At 36.1% G+C, this 25,920-nt stretch overlaps 1 protein-coding gene across 7 annotated transcripts in view; it reads left to right on the top strand.

Moving 5' to 3' along the window:
* Positions 1–25,920, top strand: part of CPNE8 (copine 8) — a 254,633-nt gene that overhangs the window by 60,127 nt on the left and 168,586 nt on the right. For all 7 annotated transcript variants that reach the window (XR_245896.5, XR_007063052.1, XM_017018852.2 and 4 more), the window contains exons 5-6: positions 6,754–6,793; positions 17,254–17,330. Coding sequence is in view for 4 of the 7 variants with exons in the window: in NM_153634.3 (NP_705898.1) it covers positions 6,754–6,793; positions 17,254–17,330 (117 nt within the window). In the remaining 3 variants the exon portion in view is untranslated. The remainder of the gene's footprint in view (positions 1–6,753; positions 6,794–17,253; positions 17,331–25,920) is intronic.

Here is a 25,920-nt window from a genome sequence, read left to right as displayed (position 1 = left end):
TCTGGTTCTAAATCTTTGAAATCAACTTGGTGTGAAAGTTAATTATATGAATTGAGTCATTCTTGTCATACTCAACTAAATCAGAGTCAACAGGCCAGGGGGAAAAAGCACTTATAGCACCTGTTCCAAGAATTGAATTTTCCACAAGGCCAGTTGCTGAACCGGTCCAATGTAACCCTAAAGAACAGTCATGACCTGCCATGACTCTAAGACTAGTTTTACCTACCACCATCACTCACCAATTGCCACTTTTGCCAGCTCCCAAAATCTTCTGTAGTGCCAATCAGTTTTCTTTCAAAACAATATATAGCTTTTCTCTTTCTAATAAAACTCCCAACCTTCTCTTAGTTTTTTGGACATACTGAATGAAAATCACCCTGGTCTGCATGTATATGCCCTGAATTGCAATTCTGTGCATCCCAAATAAAAGATTTAATTTAGAGATTCATCTGTGTATTTTATTTTGATTTCAACATTGGAGATCCTATAAGCTTTGTTACTTCCCTGAACTCCTCGTCTGTTATTTAGCTCTGATTTTTAGATCCATGTCCTGCTCTTCATTCATTACCTGATACTCAAAACTTGTCTGTTCCAGGAACATTTATCTCAGAGTGTCAGGAAACTATAAAGTAACATAAATTAATGTTAAGTAAATGGATATATTTTAACTTCCTAATTGAAGTTGAAGCAATTTTTACAGAAACAGTGTAACGTTTGAAATGGGAAAGCATATTGCAAAATGGAATTAAATAAGTATTGTTTTACCTTTTGCATGTATTTTGTTAGTTTCAGAAATTCAATTCAAAGAACATCTCCATTTTATATGATTGCTGAAAAGTTCAAACAATTAGGGCTAGAAAGGGTTACCTGCAGAAGATCATCAAGAGGAGTAACAAGTCCATCATCTTAGTTCATGTAGTGTCTTTGCTATCACTTTAATTCCTTTTGATTTTCCATTTTTTAGAATACTCACATAATAACCTTTAACCTGAAAGAACAGGCTTATTATTATTATCATCATTATTATTTTTGTGATTTCTTCAGGATATCTACATAAGTAAATGTGGAAATAGTGTAATAGTTCACGAGTTATATATATATATATTATACCTGTGATATTGGTTTTTAAAATTCTTAGCAATGTGTTATTCCTAGTAAAAGTAACATATTCATGGTAAAAAAATTGGAAAATAAAAAAGATTAAAGTAGGCAATACAAATTCCCAGTAGTCCCAACCTCTACTACCCAGAGAACTACTGCAAATATTCTGACATATTGGCAGTATCAGCCTTAAGTAAATACATACAGAGATTAATCTCTAAGAAAAGTGTTTATTTAGGAATAATATACAATAATTAGAATTGCAATTTGCACACGTACACACACGTACCAGAATGGTTTCTGGTGTGTTAGAGAACAAAAGGAAAGGCTGGAGTTTTACTGGGAAAAGAGAAAAATTACATAGGTTGTTTTGAAAGAAACTTTATTGATGCTGGTTGTGTCTTACAGAAGCTGGTGATCTCTGATTGGTAAGGGGTGGCAATTACTAGGTTAAACTTGTCTCAAAATCACAGCAGGTCCTTGAGGTTTTGGATTGGGCTTGTGAGACAGTTCTTGGAGTAGGTGTTTGTGACTCCCAAGTGATTTTCCCCATGGCTCTGCTGCCATGGGGAAAATCGGTCCTGATTCTGTTTTAGTTGGGTGTGACAAAAATGACCTCATTTTGTGTGATCAATTTTCACTGTAGTAATGTAGTTCGTTGAAGGAACAGCATGCTGAAAGATGCACTAGTGTAAATTGACCAACAGATAGATGTAAATGGTTTTCAGAATTGTTTTGGGTTTACTTAATGCCTGTTGATTTTATAAAAGTCTAAACAAGTTAAAAAAGAAGCTTTGAACATGTTTTATCTAAACTGGATATTATAACAGGTTTTAGAAATGGCTTTTATAAACTTAAAAAAATTTCAGTGCTGAAATAATTGTAACGACAGTGAGAGAAAAAGAGAGAGAAAGAGATAGAGACAACTTATTTCTGCTACCACTGACCCAAATTCTTATAAGTACTATAATAGTTAACCGATAATAATTTTTTTTATTGTTACTATGGTATGTCTGAGATATATTTTCAAGATTACCTTATCGGCTATAAGTCCTAAAATTCCCTTGCCTTTTTGATCTGGTATGTGCTTACTCATTCAGGAGACATGGTTTCTTTCATCATGCTATGTATATATCACAGAGAAAGTAATAAACTTTGACATTTATTTATTTTCATTATAATTATCACACTGATGATAATACAGGTTCCTAATAAATCCATTTTGTTGTCATGGTTGAAAACTTTATTATTGGTAGAGTAGCTGTACCAAAATGCGTTTGAGCAGGAAGTGTGGATAGCCTTATCACTTCGTAGTATGTGCCAGATAGAGGATAATTCAGAAATAACTCTTCTCATTCGTTTTTCCATTCAGATTGGAACACTAAAAAGGGATATCTGAGTCTAGATATGACTTACCTAGATAATTATTTTCTTTCTTGATAAATAAAATGGTAATAATCATGAAATGTATAATGTTATTATAAAATATTTTAGATGGATCTCAACACTTTGAGGAAAAATAAGTTGTTTTATTTCTTCTAGTAGTTGTCCCAACACCATGTCAACTGTGGTTTTTCCCATTGGTTAAGGGCTCCCTTAACAATGTCGAAGTCTAATTTCATGCCTTTCCAGTCACTTTTGTTTCTTAGAACCATCTTACTCTGTTAATTGTTAGGTACTTTTTATTTTAAAACCTTAATCTCAAACTTCATTTAAGACTTTTCCCTTGCACTCCCTTCAGCTGGAGCTATTGCCCAGCTCCTTGCAGGACAGAAGGGAGGTGGGAATGCAAAAAGGTAGGCGGTGTTGGGAGACAGAGATGGGGGTCTCCTACCGTCCAAAAAATCCAGACCTTATGTGGGAATCAGCCTCAGAGGACACATTTTAAGTACTTTGCTTGTCTTGTCCTTATGGAGGAGGGGCCAAAAAGGACATTATTCTATGTTTTTCGTCACTCAGAAAGCACTTTCTAGAACTTCCTAGTGAGTTTCTCTTTTATTGACAGCCCCAGGGTGGACTTGCAGCAGGGCCCCGTAGCTTACTGATGAACCAGATGCTGCACTCCCCTTCTTGCAGGCATCCCAGATACCTTGCAGGCATCCCAGATTTTGGAGCCATACTTTACTTGGCTTTGGGGAGTGGAAAGAACCTCCCTACTGCCCCCCAACAGAGAGGGAAAAGTCTTCACTTATGAATAGTGTGTTCATCACCTGGCCATGGACTGGTCCCCTGAACTTTAGGGAGAAAGTATGTGACCCTAATGTGATTGATTCAGTAGCTCTGAGCTAAGCATGATCACATATTTTGTTTTTTTTCTTTGGGCCTTAGTTGCAATTCCAGAAATACAAGAAAAATTTCCATCAATATCTGTTACTCTTGAATCAAAAACGTAATCCTAAGGGGCACCCAAATCAGCTACTGCCAATTCATTACTGTAGTAATAAGGTTTCAATGGCAGGATGAAGTTGTTTGCAAAATTTGTTACTAAATTTAGGCACAGTGGATGCATCCTCTTAGGAGAAACTACCAAGCTTCCTCCATGATCATATATTCTGTCTTCCTTAAAGAAAGTATGGAACTTATAAACAGATACACAGGTACACGTATACATTGTAACCAGTTAGGATGTAGTGTTTATGTTATGACCTGTGAGAGTGGGACTGGAGAAGTCTTGATATATTTAGAAAAGTTAGAAGAAAAATTGTGTTAAAAGAAAGATGGTAATTTTAGGCTAGGCACGGTGGCTCACGCCTGTAATCCCAGCACTTTTTGGAGGCTGAGGGGGGCGGATTACTTGAGGTTAGTAGTTCGAGACCAGCCTGGCCAACATGGTGAAACCCCGTCTCTACTAAAAATACAAAAATTAGCCAGGTGTGATGGCGGGCACCTATGTCACCCCAGTGACTCTGGAGGCTGAGGCAGGAGAATCACTTGGACCGGGGAGGCGGAGGTTGCTGTGAGCTGAGATTGCACCAGTGCACTCCAGCCTGGGCAACAGAGTGAGACTCTGACTCCAAAAAAAAAAAAAAAAAAAAAAAGGAAAAATGTTAATTTCTAATGCTTTATAATCTAACATATTGTATTATTGTATTCAGGTATATCATGTAAATTACCTATGAGATAATGGTATTTAAAAAGCTTTGTAAAATACAGTGAAAGAGGATTGTATTTGAAGATACTTAAGCTTTTTGTGATGAAAACATTTTCCTTTTACTTCTTAATTGAACATTCGATGTCATTTCTCCCCAGTCCACACTCGGTTCTTTTTAGAAGATAGTTTCCAGAGTTGATTTTTGAGAAGGAGCTAGCACAGCTATGTTTCATCTCTGATATTGTTTAAGTTGCTAATTTCAATCTTACCTTTAAAAAAATTTTCTTATATAAGAAACATTTCTTGGATAAAAAAATGTATTTTTTTGTACTAGCAACTGTAGTTCTACAGTAAATGTTGGCAATTTGCTGATTTAAAATTCCAGGCTATAGCTGTTGAAAGTGCTCAGAATGCCTTGATGCGAAGGAGAGTAATTTGTAATTCTTCTGAGGCAGGTTTTTGCATCATGCTTTTTTTTTTTTTTGCTATTGTAAAATTTAATTATTAAAGTATGAAAATAAATTCATTTATGTAGGTAAACAGGTCATAATGAGTGTGTGCTGTTGGAAGAGAGAGGCAATTAACTTCCTCCTTATTTAAAAAATAATAACAAGAAGTCATATTCTCTGCATTTAATCCTTCATCTTTCTGCTTCTCCCTGTGGAAAGGAAGTCACAGGACTTCTGGAGGAGAGACTATTTTGATAAAGACAGAAAAAGCTCTAAATATTTTAAGTTTTATCATGGACATTTTCAAGCAGATTCAAAAGTGGCATGTATGTATTGCCAGTTTTGGTTCATTTACTTTCTCCAGGTTATTTATTATATACTTATTGCTGAATCACTTTAAAGCAAATCATTTCACCTACCAATACTTCAAAATAAAGCTCTCACAGATAAGGATGCTTATTTATGAACCTCCTGTTTGTTTGCTTGTTTTTATAAGACCACCACGCCATTGTCCAGCCTTACCCCAAATAACTACTTACTGGCAGCTAACATTCAGGCCATTTGGAAATTTCTCTGATTGTCTTAAAAATGTCTTACAATTAGTTTAAGTCAGGCTCCAAACAAGAGTCACACATTGTATTTTTCTCCTGTGTCTCCTGTATTCTATAATACTTTCCTTCCCTTTTTTAATACCAGTTATCTGTTGATGAGATTCATAATATTTTTTAAAAGAGAAGGTGAGGCAAGAAATTCGATCTCTATAGAGTGGCTCTGTGTGTTCTCTCTCACATCCCATCACTTGGAGTAATGCTAAGATTGTTCAGGTGTTGTCTGCCTGATTAGAAAAGACCCTGTCCTTTCACCTCAAAGCCTTAGTATCCCTGGATGATTATTACCTAGAACCATTGCAATTCTAAAGCTAGTTTATGGTAAACATTCTTTGCTAGAGAGTGAATGGACCCTCTGCCTAGCATCCGTATACTCAGTGAACTTTTAATGATTGAGATGTTTTCTTTATTTGTGAGAACATTCTTATGTGAGAGAGGAGACTTTAACCTTTAAAGAGGCAGTTAATTTTTGGTAGGAGGTTATTCACAAGAAATTTGAAATGAATATGATTTGGGAGAAAGACTGTAGTCAGTACAAATATTTTCCTATACAAGAATTTGGCAAATTGAAGGTATTTTGACTATCAGTGTCCTCTCTACTTCTACAAACTCTTTAATGCCAGGGGATAAAGTGATAATGAATGATCGTATTGCAGACTCTTTCCAAGAACTGATTAATTTCCAGTACCAACTGGTCAAAACCAGAACATATGGTAGTCTTATGTAAATATGTTTGTTTCCATAAAATGTATGTTTTCTTTAAGTTCTGTGATTAGGGAAAAATAATGTCTCATTACTGCAGCCAATTTAACAATAGCATTTAAGATATTAAGTAAAAATTAAAATGTGTGCTAAGGACAACCTGTTACCAGGATCTGTTTGTTAAATAATTAATTTGATTTTTAAAAATATTTTATTTTGAGATAAACATAGATTCATTCACGTGAAGTTGTAAAAAATAATACAGGAATTATACAGAGAGACTTGGGTATCCTTTACCTAGGTTCCCCCAGTAGCAACATCTTGCAATATCACAAATAGGATATTGACATTTATCCTGGCAATATACAGAACATTTCTATCACCTCAAGGATCCCTCATGTTGCCCTTTAAAATGATGTCCAGAGAAGAGGGCTTTTCAGTTTTTAAGGAATTTTGAAGTAAGTTGCACAGTACTGGGATACTACTGATGCACAGAAAAGAGAAGGTTTAAACTTATGCACAGAAAAGAGAAAGTTTAAACTTATCAAAAAGTAGAATTGATTATTGAGAAAATATTAAGGCTTGTTAGGTGTTTAGAAATGAAAGAACCCAAGGATCATGAATTCTACCACTGGCATGTAAGCCACGGAATATGTGAAACTTTAAAATTTGCTAAGTTTTTCTTCCTATTGGTATTATTTTGGATTCATTTTTATATTATTTATGTGTTTTGGAAAATACTGGTTTTTTTTCTAGCTGTATTTTGTGGAAATAATTTGAGTTTTATATTTCAATCTTTTAGGTATGATGTTGATTCAAAGAGCCCCAACTTATCCAAACATGTAAGTTCATATTTTTATGTTTTTATAACATTATAATACAATGATTAGTACTTATGCTGACTTATTAATATTAAAGTTATACATCTATTAAGTTATTCATGTAACGTGATTGTCATAGAAAATAAGTAACATTTTAAAAGAACCCCAGAAAAACATTTTGGAGGAGCTTATTAAAAACGTTACCTTTAGTAAGTAAAATGGACTAATCTTCCTTTTAATTTTTAATCTTTATTTTTTCAGTAAATGATGATTACAGTTCCCAGTGATGTTTGAAGTTAGATCAGGTTAAGCAAGATGAAATTGCAAGTGTCTTTTTGCAAGGTTTAACTTCTAAGAGAATGGGAAGTAGCTGAGTGTAGGCAGAGTGGTTTGTTATTCTGTTTTTTTTTTGTAGTTTGTTTATTTACCAATATTTCCTGAATATCTATATATGCCAGGCATTGTGCTAGTTTCAGAGGGCATAATATGGGCATGATAGACATAATCTCTGTCCTCAAGTCACTTATAGTTTTGTTTTCTTTTTTGGGTCCCTCCTTTGGTCTATTCCTCTTTTCTCAAGAGCTCTAGTTGCCAGGTAACAACTGTTACCTGGGGAAATTTCCAGGTCCAGGAGTAGTTGGGCATCAGAGCTAGACAGAAAAGAAGTGTAGATGGGAAGGGAGGAATGAGAGTGAGATACTCCAGCGAAACATTGTGCTAATCCATCAACTTGTTTATTGACCTGTGAAATTGGAATTAGGCCACCCCCAGTAGGAAGGGCTGAATGAGGGTGAAAACAGCATTCTGAAAGGAGATAACTGAGGTGCCAAGTGAAATCTGGGTACACAGATGTAGAATTAGCAGTTGTGTCAGAGTTAGGAGGCTGGCTGGACTAACAGTTCCCAGAAATGTAGGAGGGTGAGATTTTTTAACTTTTCCACTGTTGTACGCTGTCAAACTAGAATAGATGGGCATGTGATTTCCCATGAAGTTTGGAGAAGGGGAGTGTAATAATTCGGAAAAGAGATGAGACAGAAAGGGGGATTACGAGCTAGGAAACAGATTTGGAAAATCTGGGAGCATGGATACGTATGGTGGTAAAAATCACATTTACTGCTGCCCCCTTCATTGAAGGAGGTATGAGATTTATTTGTGTTATGAAGCATACAGCAGAATCATGTGAAGAAGTATTCAGGAACAGTCTGTCTAAGTGATTTACCTCTTTACAGGTTGAAAAAAATGCTGCAACAAGCTTATTGCTCTCCATAAGTAAAGTTCATTGTGATTGCCATGCCACCTTCCTGCTCATGATTAAGGTTTATAGCATTGTGACTAGACATTTACAATTTATTTGCATAGCTTTATATTGGAAGTTTTGCAAATGTCCTAAAAAGAATCAGAAAAGAAACTGCATTTTATAGTCAAAGTTATTGAGTTGTAAGGAAAGAAATGTATTCACTTCTCACACATAGGTTGTTGATTAAAGGGATTATGAGCATGTCATAAATGTGAAGTGTAGGTTGGCTTTATGGGAGCTGGCACTGGAAACAGGGTGGTGAGTTGTGAGTGAGATAGCTATTCTCTCCATTTCTCTTTCTCTCTCTCAGGCCACATATTCTTTTTACCATGTCTTTTCTCTGAGCTTCTGCTTCTCTTTGAAGACCAAGTTTCTCTGTTTAGGGAAATGACCTCACCACTTCTGACTGGACATAGACTTCCAAGTACCACTCTCCCTGAATATAGTTTCTGTGTTTCTTAGTTCAAACTACTCTTCAAAGGGCGTAATAACTGGCAGGTAAGGACATTTCCATGGGGTTGGATATTTTAAGTGAAGTTGGGAACATGTGTTTCCTATCAGTGGAGTTGCCTTAAGTACAGGGCAGAGAGAAGTGTATGGGATAGGAAGGTACCTTAAACATGGCTAATTCTTTTCCCTTTAATAGTCACTAGTGACTACATTTTATTATATAAGAGATACTCCTCCTAGAAATCATAAATGTATATTTCCTTTCAAATCTTTCTCTTTTGTAGAAATACTTTTATTTTCATAAGAAAATTTTATCTTCTCATCGTAAGAAATTTTATCTTGACACTGCTTTACCCTCATGATACCTCTTTTACTATCTCCTCATCAGGTTTTCAATTCTGCTTAAACTACCCTGACATAGGTTAGATTAAGATTGAATGTCTTCTCTTCACTCTTTACCTCATAATCTCTCTCTCTCTGTTCCAAATAGGATTGACTACTCCGTTCTTGAAACATTCATTTCTAACTTCCACAGAAACCTCTCCCTTGCTGCTTCTCCAGCCTCCCTGTTTACCCATTATCTGTCACTTTAAGCTTTATTTCCTCCTCTTATCCCTAAATATTATTTTTTCTCATAACTTTATTTTCAATTTTTATCTCATCTCACTATATAAACTGTTTTTGGGAGAGCTCAACCATGTCCCTACCATACCTGATGACCCTCAAGTGTTTATCCCTCTGGATACCTTAGCAAATGCAAGTTTCAATTGCTTGTTAAGTATTTCCTAGTACATACTCCACAGAAGCCTAAAACTCAAGTAGATCTAAAATTTATGATTTTTTCCTTCCAGATCATGTGCTTCTGCTTCTGTGATTTATCTTGAGAATAATTCATCAACACAGTTTACTCAGTTAGAAAATTTGGATGCATGGTTAACCACTTTCTGTGTCACGTTTGACTTTTACTGAGCCACCAAGTCCTATTCCTTCTAACAAAAAAATGCTTCTCTTTCTGCCTTCTTCTTTCCCTTCTTGCTGTTATTGCCTTAGTTCAGATTCTCATTACTTTTCTACCGATATATTGCATCGTCTCCTGTAGGTCCCATGATTTATATTATTTTACATTTTAAGCTATCCTTTATATTTGTGTCTGTGTTATATTTTTAAAATATATTTAGTCGACTATACAGATTAGTTAATAAGTGCCTGAGCTTATAAGTAGGTGAAGGATGTCGAAAGAGAAGAAAAATGTGTTTTTGAATTGTTATAAGAACTGTTAGAGATGACTATCTAGATTTCTGTTAGAAATTTATAGCAAAAGCTATTCCTTAATTGAAAGCATACAAGTACAGATTTTAGGTAAAGACGCATATAGCTCATCCAACCCAAAAGAAATTCATGAGGATTTTTGAAGATCAGACAGAATCAATGAACAAGATAGGTTTATTCCCTGAGGATATGATTCATTAAGACTGTTGTTGTCTACCTGCCAATTTTGCAAAGTGAAATAAATATGAACTGGAACCTTGTAGGAAAAACTGCTAAGTGCCCAGGTTGCATGTGGCATAAAGGCACTTACTTATTTTTTTATAAAAGGGATTTTGTAGCAAGAGAGACCCCTTGAATTAGTAATAATAATTTTTTTTTTCCATTCTCTTTTCCGATAATTTTGAAAGAATTTTCTCTCAGGATGACTTTATTTGGTGTTCGGTACTTAAGACTCTTGGGTCAAATTCCTGTTTTTTGATACTGTTAGGGAAAATGGAGATAGAATATAGAACTGCACCTTAGATTTCTAACATTGCAAATAAATATGACATAAGACGTAAATGATCATAATTACTTTAATTGATTCTATTTGTGGTGGAAACGTGTTTTAGTGAAAATCATTGTGCACCAGACAAAGACTTATGGAATCTAGGGACATCTTTTTTAGAAGATTTATTCTGTTTATGATTCTCTGAGGAAATAGCTTTACTAAGATATTTTTCCCTATACTGTTAGGCCCTGTGAACAAAATATGGCATTTTGAATTCTGAGTTTGTTCTGTAAGGTACTAGTGAACCTACTCAACTAAATACTATTAGCAGAACTACATAGCATACTTTCATTTGCATAATTAAATTGCATAAGCCAAATCATTAATGAAAGGATTAATGACAGGCCCATAATTGGTGTGTACAGGATTCTGCTTGGGATGTTGGACCAGATAACATAGAAACTGTACTCTATATACTAAATTTTCATACAGACAAGGCAATCCAAAATACATTTATCCACTTGGTTGGTTGCGGAAGGCACCACTAAACTTTTTGTTTCAGACGTATTCATGGGTCACTGGATTATTTTGTACACTAGATACTAGACTTCAGTGAAGGTGTATATTTTTTAATACACTTTCTAAATATTATAAATATAAGCTTTCACATACAGATCAGTTATATTTAAAAATTTTATTTGAATATTGTTTGGACCATGAAATGGATTTTCTCATAGAAACAGATTTTTAAGTGGGGCAAGATTCTTTCATTAGAGTATAAAGCTAATTTAACGTATATATAGATGAACTAAATTCTAAAGTATTAATATATATTCATATAGGCAGACAGGCAATAAATATAGGACAGGCACTTGTCATGCTGGGGAATATAGCAATGAATAAGACAAACAAGGCCTCTCTCCTAAAGCAGCTTACATTTTGGAATTGAAGAGGTGAGGTAAGCAGATTTACTCAATGAACATGAATACAATAAGTGATTAAGATACTTGACTTTCTTTATGGCACTTAAACTAGTAAGACATTGACACTGGGAGAGAGTGACTGGAGAAGCACCAGTAGTCAGAAGCTGAAGTTTCCCTAAACCAACCAGCATGGTTCTATGCCATTTATCACCTTGGGTGTATATTTACTGAGGAGAAGGAGGGAATGATTGAAAATCTAGGAGAACAGCATCCCAGGCAAAAGGAAGAACAGTCCAGTGGCCTTGAGTCAAGAAAGAGTCTGGGGCCAGGTGCGGTGGCTCATGCTTGTAATCCCAGCACTTTGAGAGGCCGAGGTGGGCAGATCACGAGGTCAGGAGATTGAGACCATCCTGGCCAACGTGGTGAAACCCTGTATCTACTAAAAATACAAAAATTAGATGGGCATGGTGGCACATGCCTGCAATCCCAGCTACTCAGGAGGCTGAGGCAGGAGAATCGCTTGAACCAGGGATGAACCAGGGAGGCGGAGGTTGCAGTGAGCCGAGATTGTGCCACTGTACTCCAGCCTGGTGACAGAGTGAACTCCATCTCAAAAAAAAAAAAAAAGTTTGGAATGTTGGTGTGACAGAAAGTTGGCTACCATATGTAAAATATTATGAGTGATGAAGGGAGTGTACTGAAATAGTTCGGAAACATACATAGGAATCAGATGATGGAGAGATTTGGAGGCCACAGTTAAAAAAAGAGTTTGGATTTTTCTTTTTTTGGATGGATATCACTGGAGGATGATGTGATCTGATTTATGCATTTAAATGGTGACTGTGACAGTTGAAGTGGAGAATGGGGTTGAGGAAGCAAGACTGGAATTAAGGAGGTCAGTTATAAGGCTGTTGTAGTTTGACTGGGTGAGCAACCTTTGGTGGTTAAAAACCATTGAAGTGGTAAGACGTGGTCAGATTTGGAATATATGTTGGTAGTATGACTGATGATGAATTGGATGTCCAGTGTAAAAATAAGAGAAGTTAGAGTGGCTACTAGGTTCCTGATGAGAACAAATGGGTAAATAGTGATGTGGTTCATATAATGAGGTACATTGGGGAGAAGGAGATTGAGGCAGGGGGGTGAGGATTGAGAGACCCATGGTAAGGCCAAGTTCATGTTAAATTTGAGACCCCCAGTAAGCATCCAAATGGAGATATTGATTAGGCAGTGTTTGAAGACTAAGATATAGATTTACTAACCATCAGCCAATCAAGTTGGAACTCAGAGTTATCTAAGAAAATGCAAATGGAGAAGAGAATAGGATAGAATCTTGAGGGAAGAAGAGTAGCTAGAATGATCATTTTAAAAGCCAGCTAGGACATGTCGCTTTCCAGTTTAAACCCTCCAATGGCTTTCATCCACACTTGGGATAGAAATCAGTCCTTGATATAGCCCCTGGTTACCTCCTCTCCTGCCATTCTCATCATTGCTCACCCTGCTCTAACCTGCTGTCTCTCTTGCTTTTCCTTGAGCACCCAAATACTTGTCTCAGGGACTTTGTTCTTGCTTTTTCTCCTATCTGTAATGCTTCTGCCCCAGATATTCACATGGTTCCCTCCCTCACATGATTCAGGTATCTACTTGAATAGATAACTGCAAGGACTTACCTGACTGCCCTGTGTAAAAGAGCTCTTCATGTTATCCTTTGATAATTTTTAAAAATTGGTGGCCGGGTGCGGTGGCTCATACCTGTAATCCCAGCACTTTGGGAGGACAAGGCGGGCAGATCACGAGGTCAGGAGATCGAGACCATCCTGGCTAACACGGTGAAACCCCGTCTCTACTAAAAATACAAAAAATTAGCTGGGCGTGGTGACGAGTGCCTGTAGTCCCAGCTACTCGGGAGGCTGAGGCAGGAGAATGGTGCAAACCCAGGAAGTGGAGCTTGCAGTGAACCGAGATCGCTCCACTGCACTCCAGGCTGGGCAACAGAGCAAGACTCCCGTCTCAAAAAAAAAAAAAAAAGGTTAATTTCAGTCACTGATCATCTACTTGTTGAAAATTTTCTTTCAGTGTCTTATTTAACTGCCTTCATTTGGACTGTTAGAAAGCCAAAGGTATCTTTTCTTTTCTTTTTTTTTTTTTTTTTTTTTGAGATAAGGTCTCACTCTGTCGCCCAGGCTGGAGTACAGTGCCACGATCTCAGCTCACTGTTACCTCTGCCTCCGGGATCAAGCGATTCTCCTGCCTTAGCCTCCCAAGTAGTTGGGATTACAGGCACACAGCACCATATCCAGCTAATTTTTGTATTTTTAGTAGAGATGGGGTTTCACCATGTTGGCCCGACTGGTCTTGATCGCCTGACCTCAAGTGATCCGCCCGCCTCGGCCTCCCAAAGTGCTGGGATTACAGGTGTGAGCCACTGCTCCTGGTGTAGCCAAAAATATCTTAAAAACCAACAGTTGTGCTGAGGGAAAAGAAATGTACACATTCAAGGATAGGGTATAATTTTAGAAATTGTATTTGTAATTTAAATTTAGAACTTTGTATTATCTCTCGGAGGTTGGATTTAGCATTTTGGTTTGTAGATGGATCTATCCGTTAAAAAGACAAATTCTTGCTTTTTTATAATATTAAAATGTGAGAAATTGTTTCTACTAAAATATTGAATCAAGCCCGGGTGCAGTGGTTTATGCCTCTAATCCTAGCTCTTTGGGAGGCTGAGGCAGGTGGATCACCTGAGCTCAGGAGTTCGAGACCATCCTGGCCAACATGGCGAAACCCTGTCTCTACTAAAAATACAAACATTAGCTGAGAGTGCCATAAATATTTGGGGGCAAAATGTACGGTACCTGTAGAGGCCTCCATTTAAGTCGTATGTACATTATACTCACCTGAATTTGCAAGAGCAACAGGCCGAGGTCTTCTATAGCCTTACACTTCCCAGCTTCACCTTTAAGGGAGAGGCCTGGGAAGTGATCTGGCAATACTGCCCTGTATGGCTGTATGTCCAGCTTACTGCCACAGTACTGTTTTCCTTCTCAGCAGATGTCTGTGCTTTTCATGTCTGCCATTATGGGCCTGTGTTGATTCTTCAGCAGTCCCAGTTTAGCTAATTGGGTGATTGCATTGCCCTGCGCTGGTGGAGCTGGAAAAGGAAATGACTTCTGACTTAGTTTTCTCCTGGGGCTTTTTCTGTAGAGTCCAGTGGTGTATGTCATAGTGTATGTCAAGCCACACACCCTTTCCCGTGCTTCTTGTAGGTATGAAATCGTCCTCATTACCTAGCACTCAGGTGTTTTTAATTCAGGGGTTTATCAAACCAGTCTAGTGGAGTTCTGGCCAATCAGCTAGGACTAGCCAGAGCTGGTTGACACCAGTGTGTGTGTGGCCTTTGATACAGAAATACACAGATTCACGTCATAGCTTTTTGGTGCACGTTTTGTTGATTTTGTTCAGCCAAGATGATTGTTCATGTGTTCTCTTGTATTTGTTAGTGTGTCTCCATATTAATATGATCCTGCTCAATATTTATGTTTTATTCTCTTGAGCAATTTCAGCACAGATGGCTTTTACTGAGACTCGCTACTCCATTGGCAAAGTCCATTTAATATGTAGTATTTGCAGGTGCGCATAAGCATAACTATCCTTAGAAAAGAATTCTGGAATCGCCCTTGTGTGTTTTTTTGCTGCTGACTCAGAAGAGCAATGATACATTTCAGATCTTCAGTTTTCAGTTCTTTCTAGCTGTCATGAGACTTAAAGAAATTTAGGTTTATTAAAATTCCATAAACATTTGTAAAATCTGTTTTGATATTGATAAAGAAGTGCCATTATGAAAGGTGTTTAATTTAAATATGGGAAAGCTTTATCTTAAATTCTCTTTATGTATTTGAAAACAAATTTAAAGTGATTTGCAGTTTAATGAAGGTATGGCCATGCCGGCAGTATCCAAGTATCAGATGTGGGGTTATTTTTTGTCTCATGTGCAAGTATGGTTTTCACCAAATCCTGTCATTTTTCTGTGTGGTACTGTTTGGGGCCTTAACACTTTGCCTCTTATTAACTACCATAGCCTTCTGATTGATCTGGCTTCTAGTTTTTTTCCTCATTCCTGAAATCACTCTGCAAATAGGCACTTGAGTAATCTTCTGAATACACTGCTCTAATGGTGTCCCTGAATTGGTGAAAGGCTTCTGGTTGCTTCTGATGACCCTAAGACAACTTTTGTGTCTGGTCATGAGGGCCCTCTCTGGGCTTGGCTCTTCATCTCCATTTCTGCTTTTTACTTGAGTCCTTCTCTTTTCTCATTATTCTCTGGCCTGTAACTCTGTTCTGTAAATCTAGAATGTCCAATTATCTTCTCTCCAAGCAATATCTGATCTGATTCCTTACTGGCTCTCAAGAAAGTAATTCCTTTGGGAAAATGTTCCCTTGACTATGCTAGTCTACAGATATCTTTTCCTCCTCTTTTTAATTAGGGCACTTCTCACCCCCACTTTCCCCACCTCCAACACTGAAGAACATAGTTTTTACTTTTGTGGCTTGGTAAGCTTTTTTGTGACTGGGTCTCATTCCTTTCATTAGACTAGAAGCAGAGAGGCAGCATGGCTTGGCATAGTGATTAGGTGAGTAGTAAGCCTTGGGTTTAGACTTGGGTCCAAATTGTAGCTCTGAGCAATTTACTATCTCTGTGCCTCAGTTCCCTTATCTGAGAAATGGGGCCAATACTAGTTCCTCACCATAGGTTGGCTTTTTTCTTTCATCTGAGAACAGTCATTTCTCTGTAAAACTACTAAACTAAATAGATTTGTTTATTTAGTATACTGAACACATTTTGTTTGCCATTAATCCTCTCTGTCCATCCTTCTTAGGAATTTTCTTGGTCGTGTTCAGTACACAAACAATTTAGAGAGATCTCTCACCTTGTTTTAGAACAGGGCAATTCTTTGAACACATACAGGCTAAGCTAGAAGGCACGTGTCTTTCCCTGGAACAACTTCACATTTTCTTGACCTACATATCCAGATGGTGTTGGTGCCCTTATTTTATAGATATATGAGTTTGCACTGTACTTATGGTATTTAAATTCTTATGTGGCATATCAGTCTGGAATCAGAACATCAGAGTTTGTCTTGGCTCTGCTATTTATGGAAAATCAACCTTCTAGAGTTTTAGTTTCTATTTTTTAAATTAAATTAAATTAAATTAAAAATTTTTGTGAGTACATAGTAGGTGTATGCATTTATGAGGTACATGAGATGTTTTGATATAGGCATGCAATGTGAAATAAGCACTTAGTTTCTTTATATGTGAAATGCAGTGTTAATATCAGACCTCTCATTTACAGGGTTATTCTGAGTCTTGAAAATAAGAATCATACGGTTGTATGTTAATGAACGTTATAGTATATTTTACTTAACCCATTTTTAGGCACTTACAATATGCTAGTATTAACTCATGCAATAACTAATTGAACCCTCAGAACAATTTTGTGAGGAGGTACTAATACATTATAGAGAAGAGCAAACTGCAGAGCTTAATTAATTGCCTACAATCACAGTTAGTAAGTGGTAGTACTAGAATAGACACCTGGCAGGTTGGCTGTGGACCCTAGTTGAGGCTACTGCATCACATGACCTTTCTCTAAGTGTTACTGGGATTAGCCACCTCTGCTGTGGGCTTTCTCATTTTGTCTCCTCAGCCAACAATTCCAGTAATTCAGAGGCATCCGAAGTTAAGCCAATTGTGCATTCAAAACCTCCAACTTTTGTCTATTTTGTATTGTAACTTAAAACATAAAAAGAAAACAAATGCAATGCCTGTGAACTCAGAATAACTGCTCTGTGATTAAAAACACAAAATGCTGTGCAAACATGTGAAAGTCACATGGTAAGATTAATGCATATTGAGCTTATTTTACTTATTGTTGGAAGTTAGAAATGTCAATATTTCAGCAATGAAAACAATGCAGATGTATGATGTACAAAACATATACTGTAAAGATAGTTTGGAAACTTATGAGCTTTAATCTTTTTATCTATTTCAGGACTTTCTGGGACAAGTGTTTTGTACATTGGGAGAGATCGTTGGTTCACAGGGAAGTCGCCTGGAAAAACCAATAGTGTAAGTATTTTTTAATTCAGACAATGAAATGCCAACTTTAACAGTTTCTATTTTGTCAGTTTGGAATTGGTGAATGCATGGTTGTGGAGCAAAAGTGGGTTTTAAAATCTTGTTTGAGTTTTTTCTTTTAACAAATAATTTTGACATATTTTTAAAGAATAATTTCTATGTCACCTGTCATATGCTATGCTAAAAAATTTTCACAAGATGAAATGAGCAAATTTAAATAAGGAAATGTGTTGTTTTTCTTTTGGTTGTACTATTAATTATCAGATTTCGTACTTCTTGAAAAAGAGATTTTACTCTTTTGGGTTAGTAAATATATGTAGTAAACTGCTGTTAATACCATGTATTTCATAAATGCACTTTTGGTTATTGAAATTTTCATAATAATTTTTACCATGGAAGTGGCTTGTAGAGAAAGCTGTAAGTAGGTAAATATTGGGAGAAGGTAATCACTAAGAATGGTCTATTCCATCTTCACCTTCAATTACTAGGATCATGTTTAGTTTTCATGTCAATTGCATGAGTTGATTCTGTTTCCTCCAGTTCCAAATAAGGCAGGGAGCAAATTTTAGAAATTTTTCATGGCTTTATTCTCCTTTCCTCCTTCTTCCCCTTCCCTAATCCTGATTATTTGGATTGACTTAACTGTTCATAAAATTCAGAAGATCTAGAAAGAATAGTACATTTGCAGAGTTAACCACAATCTCAAAAGCTTTAGGGAATTTTGAAGTCTTTATCTTCATCAACCTTTTAAGAATCTCAAACTCAAAAAATAAATATTCCAATACTCCATAAATCTGTTTATTTCTGACATAAATACTTGAAATGGCAAGGCATTATTCTCACATTTCTTATATAAAATTAAACTTTTTATTTAGTGTGTTCATTGCTATGCAAGAAATTATTAGGCTAATAAGAATTCTATAAATTCTAAGTTTTTGAAATTTAATTTGATTTCCTTAGAAAATTATTACCGAATGTCAGTTTGAAAACTTTCATATATCAGCTCCCATTTTAAATTCTTTTTGTGTGTAATTTATTTTCACATAATTATAGGACTTGGAAGCTTATTACAAAAATATATTTATGCTCACTTTAGTAAGTAGTAAGCAATCTGTGAGGCAGATGCAAATATTTTATTGAGTGCATATAATTCTAATTGCATCTCCTATTCTAGTGACTTATGCTCACAAGGATTCCTAAGACCACTAAATCTACCTTTTGTTTTTTGTCGTTAAAAAGAATCAATAATATATGCAATACCACCTTAAAGATGCCTTTAACATTCTTCAAGAGAAAACAAAAGCAATTAAAATACAGAATTTTCATTTCCAAGCAACAGAATAGAGATTTTTATGAATGGGTACACTTCTTATTCATTTATTTATTTGTTAGCTTTTATTTTAGGTTCAGAGGTACTTGTGCAGGTTTGTTAGGTAGATAAATTGCACATCACAGGGCTTTGGCATACAGATTATTTCATCACCCAGGTAATAAGCATAGTACCCCATAGGTAGTTTTTCGGTCCTCACTTTCCTCCCTTCCTCCACCCTCAAGTAGGCTCCAGTGTCTGCTGTTTCCTTCTTTGTGTCCATGACTACTCAATGTTTATCTCCCGCTTATAAGTGAGAACATGTGGTATTTGGTTTTCTGTTCCTGTGTCAATTTGCTTAGGATAATGGCCTCTAGTTCCATTACTGTTGCTACAAAGGTTAAAATTTCAGACTTTTTTATGTCTATATAATATTCCATGTTGTATATTTACCACATTTTATTTATCCAGTCCACCATTGGTGGGCATTTAGGTTGATTCCATGTCTTTGCTATTGTGAATAGTGCTGCAATGAACATAAACATGAATGTCTTTATGGTAGAACAATTTATATTCCTTTGGCTATGTACCCAATAATGGGATTGCTGGGTCAAATGGTAATTCTGTTTTAAGTTGTTTGAGAAATCACCAAATTGCTTTACACAATGGCTGAACTAATTTACATTTCCACCAGCAGCATATAAGTGTTCCCTTTTCTCTGCAGCCTCACCAGCATCTGTTATTTTTTGACTTTTTAGTAATAGCCACTCTGACTGTTCTAAGATGATATCTCATTATGGTTTTTATTTGCATTTCTCTAATGATTAGTGATGTTGAGCATTTCTTTCCTATGCACGTTGGCTATGTGGTATACTTTTTTTTTTTTTTTTTTTTGAGACGGAGTCTCCCTTTGTTGTCCAGGCGCAATCTCTGCTCACTGCAACCTCTGCCTCCCGGGTTCAAGTGATTCTTCTGCCTCAGCCTCCCGAGTAGCTGGGATTACAGGCGCACGTGTGGCACCCTGCTAATTTTTTTTTTTTTTTTTTTGTATTTTTAGTAGAGACGGGGTTTCAGCATGTTGGTCAGGCTGGTCTCGAACTCCTGACCTCGTGATCTGCCCGCCTCGGCCTCCCAAAGTTCTGGGATTACAGGCGTGAGCCACTGCACCCAGCCTATGTGGTATACATATTTTTAAATTAGTAATTTTATTGGAAATTTTTATCTGTTTTTTTAACATAAGGAAATCATAATTCTAATTTCAGAAAATGATTAAATTATTAAGTTATAAAAAATTTACCAGTGGAAAATCATATTTATATTAATCTTGGAATATATTAAAAATTTGATATTATTATAATGTGTTGATTGGGGTATGTGGTGAATAGAACATAGCATAAGATATGGTCCTTGTTCAGCTGATTCAACAATTCCCACTAGGTATGACCAGCAAAAATAAATTCTTGCTAAGAGGTGAAGATACCTAGGGTAGACTGGTAGAATATGCAGATGTTGGGAGAATTTGCTGGGGGTTGAGTCATGATCATTTTATGTAATCAGAAAGGATGAGATTTAGATTTTTCTTAGCTCTTGCTAAGGGCGGGGTATAACATACACATATTTCATATAGTGTAATGAGGGAAAGACTTCAAAACTTGTTCATCCAACATGGATCTACAGTAACCACATGCTGTGCTTCATCTATAGGATATTCTGAAATTTAGACAACTTTATTGAAGGTCCTCAGGTTCTATCTTTCTTACTGAAAAAGGAATAATTAATTTGATTTTCTAAGCTTATATCACTAAATTTTATTCAGCCCTTCATCTCCTTGGACAGTCTTGTCAGGCAAATAAACATTAAGAAAATAGTTTAAAGGTAAGATTATTGTTTGAGCAGTGGAAGATTTCTAAATTTTTCTAAGAAAACTTAGCTAGGCAAGTTTTAGTACTAAGTGGGTAAGAAAATGTAAAGCTTGAGTGTAGCAAAGAGATGGACTACAAAAGAAAAAAGCAAAGAAACAAAACCTTAGGAATTGCAGACTGGTTGCAATTACATTCATTAAACAGTAGTGAATTGGATTAGATACCTGAGATAATCCAATAGAGGAAAGAGATGAGAGGGTGAAATGAAATAGGAAAGATTAATTAAAAATGGGAGAGTAAAAGTGAATACGATTAGTTTGCTAGTGGAAAGATATTTTGGCTTTATTAATTAAGGCACCTAGTGACGTGCTATCACTGGATCAGATGTTCCAACGCAGGTGAACAATGGACTGGAAAAAACATTTTGTAGTCACCCTTCGTCTTACATAGAAAAGACTGGCTTTAATGAAAAACTCTAGCTGTGAGAGAGGCATATGTCTGGAGGAAGAACATGTGGATTGAAGAACAAGGTCTGTTGGCTAAGTTTTAAGTTCAGGTACTTTGAGAGAAGATACAGCTTCTATGCAAATAGCATTTTACTCCCTTACCTCAGTCTCAAATGAAAAACACAACCATTCATACTTTTTGTTTGAAAAAGCACAATTGGGTTGAGGAAGAGCAAAATGCTGTTTTCATGGAAGCTTTATCTGCGAATAATGCCAAGATAGCCCTTCAGAGCAGCTGGTCCACTCCATGGAGTCCTAAATTCCACATTCATCCTTGCTAACTCCTGCTCTTCCATGTACTTCACTTTTTTTACTTTTTAACTTTTTTTCCTGAATCAATCTAATAAGCAAATAGTGGGAAGAGATGGGAACATGGGAAGATCTGAGATATTTCAGTGGAAGAGGGAATGGCTTTGGAAGAAATGAAACCAGGGAAGATATTGGAGATGATGCAAGGTCAGGAAGTGTTTTCTTCTCGTGACAGGAAGCTTGGTGACAAACACAACTTCGAAGCCTCCATGTTTTCACATGAATATGTAAGAGTAGTAAAATTTATGAATGCATGACCGAAATAGCCGAGAAATTCACACTGGGGAAATAATAGGTATTTATGGTATAGCTCTTCTATCTATTCTTCATAGTTTCCACTGCCTCCTGCTGCCTTGCTGTGTGAACCTGCCCTGACCAGATATCTTTAACCGTCTGGTTAAAGATAACATTGTAGGACAGCCACTAAACATTCTACTGTTTTTCATGGTCTGGTCCTCATGACTGAGGATAGAAATAGAATTTGCACACTCCTGGTGCTGCAGCCATTACTTTTTGCAATCATGTTTGTGAGAGGTTAGGTGATTTTCCCTATCTGGATGGGCACTGGCTTCTGAATTGCAGCATAGGACACCTCCAGAAGATATCCTGAGGCAGACAGTCCACTTGTAAGTAACACACAATTGATTTATCATGAATTTAAAGTCTTCTTGTGTCCCAAATGTTATTTATCTTAAGTAGCATTATCCAAGTACCTCTTATTTATTAATTTTAGATTAGAGATTTATTTCCCAATTAGTTTCCCATTTATATTCTAAGTTATTCAGAATACTTCCTTGTTTTTTTTTTGCTTTCTTTCCTTTAAATGGCCTAACTTAAATTATTTTCTGATAAGATACTCAGAATAATTTCTTCTAGCTTTTTAATTGCGATTGTGTTGTAATATCTCCTCAGAGATAGTCTTTTTAAATTTATGATAACTGTAAAATTGGGAGATTTAAAGGAGACAACTTAGAATTTGAAATTATTTAATATCAATCAAACTTTTGACAACGAAGTTAGGATTATTGTGAAGGTAAAATGGTTTGTTGTATGTAGCCTTTTGCCTCATTCTATAATGAGAATTTGAATTTAACCTCGGGCTTTTTTACTTTCTGTGTTTTGGTTATTGTTGTCATTTATAAAATTAGATTTTCTCATTTTATTATGGGAAAAAGCATTTCTATTTTTAATATTTTATATGCATAATGATGAAATAATTTGAAATTGATGTTCAATAATTTTTAGTTTACTTTTTAATAGCAGCTTAAGATTTTTGCAATTTCAATAGTCTGTTCTGTTGGATTTAAGCTTTGGGCAAACACGTTTCTCATCTGAATTCCATCCTACACTTTTGGGCTTTTCCTGGAACCCTCCTAAAATGAGTCTTGTGCTACTTAATTTGACTGAAACATTTACTGTGCTTCCTATGACTCATCGGCTCCTCTCTTTAGATCATCCCATTATTATTTAGCATTATACCCACTCAGCAGTGTGTTTTCTCATGCTGTGAGATTGTATCCAATTTTCTGTGATGCTGTCAAAGAGTCGTATGTCTTCTATCTTTAGGGATCTCAGTGATGGATTCGGCAAAGCCTTCCGAAATGCAAGAATCAGCACCGGTTTAAGAAAGATTGCCATTCTCTCCTCTGGGAGGAAAATATTTATTATGTTCCTCAAGTAATAGGCCTATTTGTTCCTGTTACTCTCAGCCAGGCATGAGTGGTTCCATATAAAAGGATCAGGGAAAAAGGCAGGCACTGGTAATAATTAGAAACTAGATTCTTACTCCAGGGAGAAGCAGGATACAATGGGAAGAAGCAGTACCAGCAGTAATGGTACCAGCAGCTGTTTTGACTAAAGGACGTTTAGGAGGGCAAAGGCTATGTTTTTTGTAGGCTGGCAAAAGCACTTTGTGATCTAGGCAGTTGGTAGTGGGTGGAGAATTAAGGGAAGGTTCGTAGATGGATGATTGTGTCCTAACAGGTGAAGAGGACAGGGACAGGGACTCAGAGGCAAGTGATAATTGAAAAACCAGCTTGTAATTGTCTGATAGATGTGGGGATCTCAATTGTGACTTAGGGTTCAAGGACAGAGACAGACAGGTGCTGAAGTACAACAAGATGAAAGCAGGGAGAGGAACAGAGCAGAAAGGAAGCTTCAGAATAAGGAAGAAGACTAAAATAGAAGAATAGTGTTTGAGGGGACTTGAGGCAGAGACTTACAGGGTTGGCTTGAAGATTTGACACAGATGTGGACTTATCCTGAAAGTTAGGCTTTGACTGTGAATGCACTTAGAGATCAAATGTCTGTGAGAAGGAAGAGGAGGAAGAGGGATAGGAGAATGCATAGTCATAAAAGTGGGAAACATACAAACTCACCATAAAACAGGGCATGTTTTTAGCATGCAGCTTTTTGCCTGTAAAAATGTAATCAACTTTGGGGGAAATTTTGAGGCTCAAAGTAATCTTTATTAATTAAATTGATATTGTTATGCTCTCTAATTTACTTCAGTGGGAAGAATATTGGGCTGGACTCAGAAGATGGTGTTTTTAGTCCTATCTCTGCTACTAACTTGCTATTGCAATATTAGGCCGTTTTTACATCTATACTTTTTTTTATGTCTATGGGTCACATTTGTAATAAGAATTTGCTGTAGAGCTAAATAAACAGCCACTGTAATGAAGTTGATAGTACATGAGCTTTGGGAGCAGTCAGACCTGGGTGTTACAATTGATTAGGTATGTAATTTGAGCAAAGTGCATCAAATTCCTGAGACCCAGCTTCCTCATCTGAAATATCTGAATAACACTCATTTAAGAGTATTATTGTAAGTAACATCAATACTTTATACAACTGATTTGTGATGGAGCACATTAGAATTTAATAAACACTCATTGTTTTTATTAAAAATAGCCAGTATCTTTCCTTCCTTCCTTCATGTTTATTTTTCTTAGAGACGTGTTTAGCTAGGAATTCAGCAAGTTTAAGGAAAGGACCGTGTTAAACCAAACTTGATTACACTTATGTAAAGTGGTAAGTATTATCCAAATATAAATATTAAAAACTATTTGTCTGTTTTCAGTATGTAGCTGAACTATCAAATAGGGGAACTGAGTTAGATTTCTTCTTTTCATTAGTTTGGGTTTTATAAGATAGTTTTGGAAATATCCCAAATTTCCCATGTTAACATGTAATTACAAAAAATAATCCAGGGTTCAGTGTCAATTAAGAATAAAATATTTTTTTATTTGCAAAGACTACACAGATGTGTATACATGTTTGTAATCTTCACATGACTCAACACATTAAAAATAAAACCACTGATTGCCTTTCAGATAGATATTAGATACTTCACCAGCCTAGAGTAGAGCTTTAATCTACTTCTGGGAAAGCCTCTCGAAAAATGGTATATTCTTTTTAAAGGCCAAAGATAGAAGGAATTTTAGTACATTTACTCATGTTATTATACACAAGCTTCTGAGGTTTACATATAATCGAAGTTTAATCAAAATGTTGAGTTGAACCACTTTCTTGCATTCATTTTCGAATGTGAGTGAGCTCATTCTCTGGAATGATCTCCAGGGAGGTAAATTGCTTACTCTAAATAGGCAGATTATGTGTATCTGCAGATTCCCATGATTCTCTGCTCTACTCAGATATTCCAGTAGTGACAACTAAAGTCATACAGATGAAGAACTCTTCTGGATGGAAAGGATTGTAAAGGATATGACCAGTCATGAGAGATATAGGTAAAATGAATGAGTTTTTTACAAAATAGCCTTTAATGTCATTGTCAGAGACAAGCCTCAGAATGATTGGTTGGTTGTTCTGACTTGGTGTGACATGTGTCTTGTTCCTATGAGACTTGTGTGCAAATAAGCCCTTTGGGCATCCCAGTTTAGGAAAGAAAAACAAAAGGAAAAATTATTTTACGAATGGTAACTTTATAGAGCAAATAATTTACTGACAGATTCTGGTAGATAGAATCTGAGTATAATAGAGGTTTTAGGGATTGTGTTTTTTAAAAATAATATATTCAACAAATCTTTACTAGGAATTGATTATGGATCAGAAACTGTTAGGTACTAAGTATACAATGATGAATATGCAAAGTTGTTCCTGTCTTTATTGGTTTTTACCATTTATTCATTAAATGAATAATCATGCAACTAAGTATAATTGCATATTGATACAGGCCCTATGAAAATTAGAATATTAGCTTAACCTACAATATGTAGGTCATTTTTAGTATTTTAAACTTTATCATAAATGCAATGGGAAAATTTACGATTTTTTTCAAAGAGGATCATTGACTTCTGTGTAGAGGATGGTTGTATGTGGTTAACAGATAGTTGTTTGGGTTAGGAAGATGAGGAAAAATGGACAGATGAAAAATATGTTCTGAAGGTTGATTTCACAAGGATTGGTGAAAGGTTGATGGTCTAGGTTGAAGAAGATTTCAAGGACCTTCAGGTTTCTTTCATGAGACAGTGGATGTAAGGAGGATGTATGCTAACAAAAGGAAGATCATCCATTTTTGAGGTTGCCATACAGATTGGTGAGCTTTAGTAGTAGATGGGACATTCTGTCCATGT

Source organism: Homo sapiens, chromosome 12, assembly GCF_000001405.40.
Source record: "Homo sapiens chromosome 12, GRCh38.p14 Primary Assembly".
Taxonomy (NCBI): domain Eukaryota; kingdom Metazoa; phylum Chordata; class Mammalia; order Primates; family Hominidae; genus Homo; species Homo sapiens.
The sequence above is the reverse complement of the archived record's forward strand: the minus strand, read 5'-3'. Positions and strand labels throughout refer to the sequence as shown.